The 10,674-nt window shown below is 39.4% G+C and overlaps 1 long non-coding RNA gene across 7 annotated transcripts in view; it reads right to left on the bottom strand.

The window, feature by feature from the left end:
- LL0XNC01-250H12.3 (uncharacterized) overlaps positions 1–10,674 on the bottom strand; it is a 113,164-nt gene that overhangs the window by 25,434 nt on the left and 77,056 nt on the right. For 3 of the 7 annotated variants that reach the window (NR_188436.1, NR_188437.1, NR_188438.1), the window contains 2 exons: positions 6,051–6,121; positions 1,140–1,296 (listed from right to left, as the gene is read on the bottom strand). The exons of 1 other annotated variant lie outside the window; for it this stretch is intronic. This is a non-coding gene — a long non-coding RNA (uncharacterized LL0XNC01-250H12.3). Of the gene's footprint in view, positions 1–1,139; positions 1,297–5,926; positions 6,122–10,674 lie in introns of all 7 variants that reach the window. 3 more of the 7 variants (NR_188433.1, NR_188435.1, NR_188440.1) reach the window with 2 other exon arrangements.

Genomic DNA, 10,674 nt, shown 5'->3' with positions numbered 1-10,674 from the left:
GCTGAGTAGAGGTCACACATGACTTCGAGTTCCCAGAAAACCTGAAAGTCTGCTTAACTTTGGGACTTTCATAGCTGCCTGTTCCTTTTTATGGTGCTTGAACCAACCAATAAGCTTTCACCTATGTCAACCAATCAGAACTAAGCAAGTTGGAATCCTTCATTTGCATAAGTTGACCTGAGTGGGAACCTGGGTGAGAATTTTCTTCATAAAAGACAAACCTTCCCTTTGTCCTCTGGAACACACCTTCATTTTATACTGAAGGCTACATCTCCCCGATTTGCAAACTATTCACTGGAATAAAGTCTCTTTCCTCTAAATTCCTTTTCAGAGAACTTTTGTTCTCAGCCTGAATTTAGGAAGGGAGACCAAATGAGATGCAAAGCCATGAAGGAAAAGAAGGAAGCAGAGGAAAATGTGGTTGTCATCACACACACAATCACGCCAGCACATACACAATCACACACACACACACACACACATTTATACATGGACCAGGCTCTTTTTATCACAATACTAGTATTCTTCTATGACAGTTTGGTGAGTTCCAAGAGGACACATTTGGCTCACCAGTCCAAACAGCCACAGGAACTGTGCCCGGAACTGTGCCCTTCAGCGGAGCACATACTTTGAAAAGATGCCATCGACACAGTGTTGACATTAGGGAGTATCAGAACACTCTGAATAACATGGAGTTCTGAAAATTATGTTACATCCACAGCATGAAATTGTAGGTAAGCAATAAAATGAGTTACAATGAAGACAATGATGAGAGAGAATTTTTTGCCTATCAGATTAGCTACCATGCCCATTATTTCAATGTGTGTAGAAACAGGCACTTTCATACTGTGATGTTAGTGTTACTGAGCAATGGGCTTGGTCACCAATGCACATAGAAGCCAATACTATGGCACTAGCTTTTGAGGAAAGAAAAAGCTTTATTGCAAGGTCGACCAGCAAGGAGACAGGACCAGCAACACTCAAATCTGTTTCCTCGAGCTGGGGTCTGAAGGCAGAGAGTAACTATGGGGGACATAGGGAAATGCAACCAGGCATGATCTGATTGGATCATGCAAAGAAGTGGTGCCAAGTCCTTGGCTTTTAAGTTTGTACTGGGAAAAAAACAGGGAACCACTCACTTCTCATTTTGGTCCTCATTTCTCAATCTGAATACTTAGATTCCACATGTGGTTGACATTTTCTGTTCTGGCCAGTTCCAGGTTCACCAATCAGGCATACTTGGTTCATCTGGGCATGCTCAGGTTATATGACTTGCAACCTGGGGATCCACTGCATCTAAAAAACAACTCATCACTTTGTTACAAAGTCAAAGCATATTGAACGGTTCTGTGGTTACATTAGGAATGTAAATTAGTAGTAGTATTTTGAACCATTATGTTAATATAAAATGTTCTAATTTCCAGGGTTTTGAAAGGACTCTTCAGGAGCTTATAAAGAAATGCTTTAAAAGATATCTGCATATATAAAAGCTGGTGTTAAGTATACTATTGTCTGTAATAGAAACTATATTAAAAGGAATTAAATTTTCACCACTAGAGTACTGGGAAAATAAAGTTTAGGGCATCATATGATGAAACACCAACTCTATACAAAAAATTGAAATTGAATTTGAAAGATGGTCATAGTAAAGGCAAACACAGGTTACAAAAGTCCTAAGTAGTATGGCCGGGTGCAGTGGCTGACATCTGTAATCCCAGCACTTTGGAAGACGGAGGTGAGCGGATCCCTTGAGCTCAGGATTTCGAGACCAGTTTGGGTAACATGGTGAAATCCTGTCTCTACAAAAAATATAAAAATTAGTCAGGGGTGGCCGGGCGCGGTGGCTCACGCCTGTAATTCCAGCACTTTGGGAGGCCGAGGCGGGCAGATCACGAGGTCAGGAGATTGAGACCATCCTGGCGAACACGGTGAAACCCTGTCTCTACTAAAAATACACACACAAAAAATTAGCCGGGCGTGGTGGTAGGCGCCTGTAGTCCCAGCTACTCCGGAGGCTGAGGCAGGAGAATGGCGTGAACCCGGGGGACCGAGCTTGCAGTGAACCGAGATGGCGCCACTGCACTCCAGCCTGGGAGACAGTGAGACTCCGTCTCAAAAAAAAAAAAAAAAAATTCGTTAGGGGTGGTGGCTCACACCTGTAGTCCCAGCTACTTGGGAGGCTGTGGCTGGAGGATCGCTCAAGCCTGGGAGGCAGAGGTTGCAGTGAGCTGTGATTGCACCACTGCACTCCAGCCTGGGTGACGAGAAAAACCCCACAAAAGTCAGAAGTAGTTCTGTATCTATTTTTGCTTGTATAGGTCTATTGCTATATATCCATAGGTCTGAAAGCATAAAAATAAAAATGATTTTTTTTATTCCTCTCAAATATAGCTTTCTATTTAGCATAGTAAGAGGCTGGACTTTCTGTTTGGCCATCAGTATCCCTGAACACTGGATATACTTCTGTTCCACCCAGACTTATAGAAAGCTCTGTGGGGTGGGCTTGGGCCACAACCCCTTCCTCCCACTTTCCTGCTCCCGGATGTTCAAGCTGCAGTTTAGGCTTCTGTCACGAGGGGGCACTAACATATCACCATTATCAGACTGCAAAGCAATATATACAATGAGCAAAAAGGTGGGAATTGAACAGTGAGATCACATGGACACAGGAAGGGGAATATCACACTCTGGGGACTGTTGTGGGGTGGGGGGAGGGGGGAGGGATAGCATTGGGAGATATACCTAATGCTAGATGACGAGTTAGTGGGTGCAGCGCACCAGCATGGCACATGTATACATATGTAACTAACCTGCACATTGTGCACATGTACCCTAAAACTTTAATAAAAAAAAAATTAAAAAAAAAAAAAAGAAATACCATACCTCCCTTAAAACACAGCTTGTGAACCTATTTTCAAAATTTTCTGTCTGAAAAAACTGACAGATGCAAAAGAACACTAAATAAATATACTCTGGGGGCATCCATACTATGAAACACCAGGTAGCTCTAGCACACATTGGGAGCCACCGGCTGGCATAGGACAGCACAGGGGCAGGCGTAAGGTGACTAAGAAATGATGAGGGAGGTGGAACTGAGTCTGGGTGGCTGTGTCCACAGTGTCCCAGAGAGGGGATGACTGAAAGTGGGTGGAGAAGGTCTGGGAAGCCTGTACAGGAGTGGGGTAACGGAGGGCAAACTGCCTGCTCTCTGGGAGGGAGGGACCCCTCTACAGTGTGGACACCTCAACCTACCCTGAGGAAGGAAAAGATAAATCAGTGAATGCGATGAGATTCTTGGAGCACCATAATGCAACTGCTTTAAAATATATATTATATATATATATACAATATATAATATATATCATATATACACAATATATAATATATCACATACATACAATATAATATATTACATACAATATATAATACACCACATACATACAATATATATCACATACATACAATATGTAATATATCACATACATACATTATATATAACATATTATATATAACATATATTATATATGCAATATATAATATATACACGATATATATGTAATATATTACATATGATATATAATATATACAATATATAACATATATAATATATATAATATAATATATAATACACATTACATACACACAATATATTATATATACAATATATAATATATTATATATAATATATACTATATACACAATATATGATATATACACAATATATGATATATTATATATACAATATAATATATTGTATATATGATATATAATATATAGTATATAAATAAATAAAATTCATATAGTTTGTATAAATTCATAAATATATTTATATAAATAAATAAAATATATGAATTTTGCACACAGAATTATGATCATGGTAAACAAACCATTTTAAGTCCTTCGTTACTCTACAAAATATACTCCTTTTTATTAAAAAAAAAAAAATAAAGAGATCGATGCCATCTGGTGCCCAGAGACAGGATTGCATCTCTGTCAGCCAAGGGCCTCGGTAAGAGGGAAAGAGGGATGGAGTTTGGGAATTTGGCTCCCAGAAGGTATCAGCTGGAGTCTTCCGGAATTATTCAGCTCATGGTAGCTGTCTCTCTGTATCCACTATTTTCTGGGATATCTAAAACTGATATTGGTTCCATCCCCTGTCTGAATTAAAGGTAAAGCTGCACGTATGTTTATTTGGGTGATAGAGCAAGAGAAGATACACACACACACACACACACACACTCACACACATAGACATTATCAATTCCATTTTTATCTACTTTGTCTCAATACAAAATTGAATACAATGAATGTACTTTCGAATTAATGAAATACATTACAATTACTGTTGCCAATCTATTCAAAAGTATTTATTGAAATGCTTTTTTCCCTAAATACAAAATTTCAAACAATGTATAAAAGTATATTTATAAATTGAAATGAATCTGCATATCTCACTGGCCTGAAGCCTACCCTCTGACCCAAAAGGGTCTGTTGTCAACAGAATGGTGCATACTCTCCAGATGTGTCCCTGTAGGTGAGGTGCACGCAAACACACAATCTGTTCCAAAAGTGAATCACAGTACTAATTTTTTTTGCAACTTTTTTCTTCCACATAATATTCTCTTGAAGATTTATATTTGCATCTTATTAGTACTTCCAGTTTTGACATATTTTAACATGTTTATTGTTCATGTACATTTTAATGAGAATGTCTGTTGAAAACAGCTGCCAGTCATTTTGTTACAGAATGTGGTTCACAAATCATGGATACTAACCCAGTATCTGAGATGTAGTTTGCAAATGTTTTCTCCCTTAAGTTAAAAAATGTTTAGCCTTATTTTTACTGAGAAAGTGTTTTAAATGTCAATAATGTGACAAAAATATACAGGTCATAATTTAAAAAGAAAAAATGTTGAATAACACCATGAGGAGCAGGCGCTATCAGCCTGCAGGGAGATTAGAACATTCAGAGCCCTGGAGACATCAAGAGAAAATGATACAACTTTGGAGTATTCCAGAGTTAGCTGATGATCACAGGACAACTAGGTTGTTTCCCTGACTTACATAAACTCCCCTAAAGACAGCACACTGATCTGAATAATGGTCAGAATGATGAGTATCTTAAATGGTTGTTAGGATTAAAGGAGATGAGCTGTAAATTGCATTTGCTTACAGTGGTTCAGTGCATGTTACTTTCCTTCTCTCCAGCTCACCTGTCCCAAGGCCAACACTTGAGCTTCTGCCTGAGCCCACTCACCACTTCAAGGATTAGCTAACTCCTGTGGCCCTACACCCAGATCTCATGGCACAAAGCGCAGGATTTCACCTCTTCTGTCTTCCTCATCACCCAGAGGGGTTGTGGAGTGAGGACCTGTGGGGCCACAATATCAGGGGGGAATCTGACCATTTCTCAAGCCCTGGAAACCCATCTTCTAAAACGGAAGCTGCTCAGGGTTCTCTAGGGAGGGTGAGGAATAGAACCTCATTCCAACCCTGCCACTTACCTGGAGGGGTGACTTAGGCTCTGTGAGCCTGAGCTTAGTCATCTGTGAAATGGGACTGACCATACCATCTTTACAGAGCTGTTCTGAAGGGTAAATGAGAAAACCTCTTGAGAGTATATAGCATGGAGTGGGACTTCAATTGCCCTTTAAATGCTGAGACATAGAAGTGGGGGTTGGCTGAGCCTCACGGCTAAGGCAGGCATTGTGAAAAGTCATTTTTCATTGTTTCTCTCCTAATGAGAACACAGACATCCATATAAGGGAAGTAAATCTCTCTCTGATATGTTTTGAATTCAAGGTTTTAAAGACAGAATGTTCTCTACATTCTTGGGTGTTTCATAAAATCTGGTCAACATCATGCCTCTGAGTAGACCCCAATCCAGTTCCCAATGCTGGGAAGACAGGTGTGTCTTTGAACTTACCTGATGAGCTCTGTGATAGGTTTGGCCAGGAATGCAAGGTTTGGTGTTTGCCTAGTGGCTGCTCCTGGCTTACTTGGTATTTTAGTATATTTATAGAAAAATTCTGTACTCATCCTGCAGTCACCTGTGCAGGAGTCCTCAGATCATGCATGATCCAGCCACATCACACCAGGATTTCAGCCACCTGCTGCCTCCCTGAAGGACAAAAATCCAAGAGTTACTAGCATTTCTTTCATACAATGTCCATTCTTTCATTTACTAACAAGTAAATATATATTGAGCTCAAAACCCCTATTAGTCCATTGGAAGGGTCTCATGTTCTCCAAAGTGGAAATAAGAATGTGAGAAGGGAAATCAATATATGGAAAGCTTCGAGGGATAAACCTGAGATAAGACAGCTTCTTCACATTAATTTGAAAACTTGCTCAAGTTTCATGGAATTGAAGATTTTAAAAAGTCTCTCATTGAACCCTTCATTCCTATTCAGCCACAGAATGCTTCTCTCTATAAATATGTCTGTCTGTATCTCTAGGTCTCTCTCTTCCCTTTCAAATTCAAAGTACCAAAAGGATTTTCTGCACTCTGTTAACATTCTTCACTTCCCATGGTCCTTATCCCATTGCACTATGATGTCTGTTTCCAGGATGGCAACAAACATGATCTCACCAAGGTTAAAATCCACCTTTTGGTCACCAGGTTCAGTCTGTGTGTGTGTGTGTGTGTAAATATATTATCATAATGAGTATTACTTTTTAAAAGTAATCTCCTAAAACACGCATGCTTGTGCAGACTGCTTCTTCCACCTATCAACAGAGCCTTCACAGTTTCCCAGGCTCTGGAGCATGATGTACTGGACACAAATATAAGCTGTCTCAATCCCTAACTGTACAGTCTCAGGCAGAGTCCATATTCTCTCTGTCATCAGTTTTTCATCTATAAAACAGAGATTAGCCACAATTTCTACCTTGTAAGGGTGCTGTGAAAATTTAATGACTCAATACATAAATGCATATGGTACATAAGAAATTTTACTCATTTCTCTTTATATATTTTATTGGCATTAGTATCACTATAGTCATAAAAATAGGATATAGACTAAAGTTTATTCACAAGGAATACCGTTTGTGGTATGTTGTTAGTGAGTGTATAAATTTTCTAGGGCTGCCATAACAAATTACATAAATTTATTATTTCAGAGTTCAAAAGTACAAAACCAAGGCCAAAAGTACAAAACCAAGGTCTAGACAGGGCCAACTCTTTCTGAAGACTCAGGGGAGAATCCTTCCTTTCCTCTTATATCTTTTGGTGGTTCCTACTTTATAGTTCCAATCTCTTCCTCCATCTTCACATGGCCTTTCTCCCTATCTGTGTCAAATATCCCTCTTTCTTTTATAATGATACTGGCAATTGGATGATCACATCTTTAGATCTTTAGCTTAATTAGATTTGCAAAGATCCTATTTCCAAATAAGGTATAGTGGGTGTTAGAATTAGTGCATATTTTTGAGGAGACACAATTCAACCCATTACAGTGAGGCAAGCAAGTTACAAAACTAAATGTAAGATGAAGTATCTTTTGTATGTAAATATATAAATGCACGCATACTTACATATGTACCTATACATGTACCTGCAAAAGAAAACTTCTAGAAGAATATAATGTAGGTGAAATCATTACAAGGGCTTATCTTTGGGTGGTAGGATTTGGGGTATTATTTTTTCTTTTCTTTTATTTTTTTTGGGATGGAGTTTCACTCTTGTCACCCAGGCTGGAGTGCAATGGCACGATCTTGGCTCCCTGCAACCTCCCCCTCCCAGGTTCAAGTGATTCTCCTGCCTCAGCCTCCTTAGTAGCTGGGATTACAGGTGCCTGCCACCATACCTGGCTAATTTTTTTGTATTTCTAGTAGAGACGGGTTTTACTAAGGTGGTCAGGCGGGTCTCGAACTCCTGACCTTATGTGATCTGCCCTCGTTGGTCCCCTAAAGTGCTGGGATTACAGGCGTGAGCCACCATGCCCGGCTATTTTTTCTGCTCTGTATCTTCTATTTTTACCTATAATAAGCACTATTCCTCTTTCAATTACACAAATATTAAAATGTCTGAAAAACATAACCATTCTGTGTTCCCAACCACAAGAAAGCTATTTACTTCAGAACAGGAACATCCCTAAGGCAGGAAGGGAGATAAGACATTTCCACAGTATTACTGAACATATTTCTCCCAAATTCAAAACCACACAGAATATTACCAATATTTAATTGTCGGCTGGGCGCGGTGGCTCATGCCTGTAATCCCAGCACTTTGGGAGGCAGAGGCGGGTGGATCACCTAAGGTCAGGAGTTCGAGACCAGCCTGACCAACATGGTGAAACCCCGTCTCTACTAAAAATACAAAATTAGCTGGGCGTGGTGATGCATGCTTGTAATCCCAGCTACTTGGGAGGCTGAGGCAGGAGAATTGCTTGGACCCAGGAGGCAGAGGTTGCAGTGAGCCAAGATTGCACCATTGCAATCCAGCCTGGGCAACAAGTGTAAAACTCCATCTACCAAAAAAAAAAAAAAAAAAAAAAAAAAAAAAAAAATTTAAGGGTCTGCCTGCTTAACCGAGAAAAAACAGGAAACCTTAATTTGTTTTGTTGTGCTGCTGTGCCCTGATCTTATCGGATGAAAAGCAGCTGCTCATACTGGTTAGATGTAGGGGCTTGAGAGCCACACAGCCAATGTTCAAATCTAAGTCTCGACACTTGCTAGCCCTGCCTTCACTGTGCCTCAGTTCCCTTATGTTTAAACGCAGGCAACAATAGCTCCTCCTTACAGATGATGCTGAGGATTAAATAAGTATAGGTTTAGCTCTTAACAACAGTGTCAGGAACTGAGGATGTCAATAATAAATATTAACCTTTTAAAAAATCAGTGTTAACGTATTGCCATTTTTATTATTATGTGAATTTTTATTGATTGGCATAGATTGCCATTCATATTACGATGTCTGTTAAAAAAAAAGCAATTTGCACAGCTCTAAGTAGGATATCATCTCACGGCATTCCTAAATATGCATGGTTATATTTGCATAATAGAATTTATGAAAAAAATATATAGTCACACACTACATAACAACATTTCACTTGATGAAGGACCACATATTCAATAGCAGTCCAAGATTATAATGGAGCTGAAAACTTCTTGTTGCATGTAAATTCTTGTTGTAACATTCGTAGCTCAATGCATTCCTCATGTTTCTGGTGATGCCCATGTAAACAAACCTACTATGCTGCCAGTTGTATAAAAGTATAGCACATACAATTGTGTACAATACATAATACTTGATAATGATAATAAATGACTATGTTGCTGGTTTATGTGTTTATTGTACTATACATTTTATCATTACTTTAGAACATACTCTTCTACATATTAAAAAAGGTTAACTGTAAAACAGTCTCAGGCAGGTCCTTCAGGAGGTATTCAAGAAGGCATTGCTATCAATAGGAGATGACAGCCCCATGCCTGTTACTTTGCCCCCAAAGACCTTCTGGTGAGACAAGATGTGGAGGTGGAAGATAGTGATATTGATGATCCTGACCCCGTGTACCTGACCCCATGTAGGCCTAGGCTCATATGTGTGTTTGTGTCTTAGTTTCTAACAAAAAATGTTTTTAAAAAAATTAATAGCAAAAAGCATATAGAATAAAGATATAAAGAAAGAAAATGGCCAGGCACGGTGGCTCATGCCTGTAATCCCAGAATTTTGGGAGGCCGAGGTGGGAGGATCCATTGAGCCTAGGAATTTGAGACCAGCTTGGGCAATATAATGAGACCTAGTCTCTACATAAATAGATAAATAAACAAACTAGCAGAGTGTGGTGGTGCATGCCTGTAGTTCCAGATACTCAGGAGGCTGAAGCAGGAGGATCACTTGAGCCTGGCAGGTGGAGGCTGTTGTGAGCCAAGATCAGGCCACTGCACTCCGGTCTGGGCGACAGAGCAAGACACTGTCTCAAAAAAAAAAAAAGGAGAGAAAATATTTTTTATAGCTCTACAATGTGTTTGTGTTTTAAGCAAAGTGTTATTACCAAAGAGTCAAAAAGTTAAAAAAATTAAAAAATTATAAAGTAAAAAGGTTACAGTAAACTTAGTATTGAATTTATTATTAAATTTAGTATAGCCTAACTGTACAGTGTTTATAGTCTATAGGAGTGTACGGTAATGTCCTAGACTTTCACTTTCATTCACTACTCACTCACCCAGAGCAACTTCCAGTCCTGCAAGCTCCATTCATGGTAAGTGCCCTATATAGGTGTGCCATTTTGTATCTTTTCTTTCTTTTCTTTTTCTTTTCTTTTTTTTTTTTGAGACAGGGTCTCACTCTTTCGCCCAGGCTGGAGTACAGTAGCACGATCTGGGCTCACTGTAACCTCCATCTCCCTGGCTCAAGTGATTCTCATGCCTCAGCCTCCTAAGTAGCCAGGATTACAGGCACCCGCCACCATGCCCAGCTAGTTTTTGTATTTTTAGTGGAGTCAGCATTTCACCGTGTTGGCCAGGCTGGTCTCGAACTCCTGGCCTCATGTGATCCACCTGCCTCGGCCTCCCAAAGTGCTGGGATTACAGGTGTGAGCCACTGCACCTGGCCCCATTTTGTATATTTTATACCATAATTTTACTGTTTATTATTGCTTAGATATGTTTAGATACACAAATACTGACCATTTTGTTATAATTGTCTACAGTATTCAGTATAGTAAC

The sequence above is a fragment of the Homo sapiens genome, chromosome X (assembly GCF_000001405.40).
Source record: "Homo sapiens chromosome X, GRCh38.p14 Primary Assembly".
In the NCBI taxonomy this organism is placed as follows: domain Eukaryota; kingdom Metazoa; phylum Chordata; class Mammalia; order Primates; family Hominidae; genus Homo; species Homo sapiens.
Note: the sequence above shows the minus strand (reverse complement) of the source record. Positions and strands in the feature narration are given on the sequence as shown.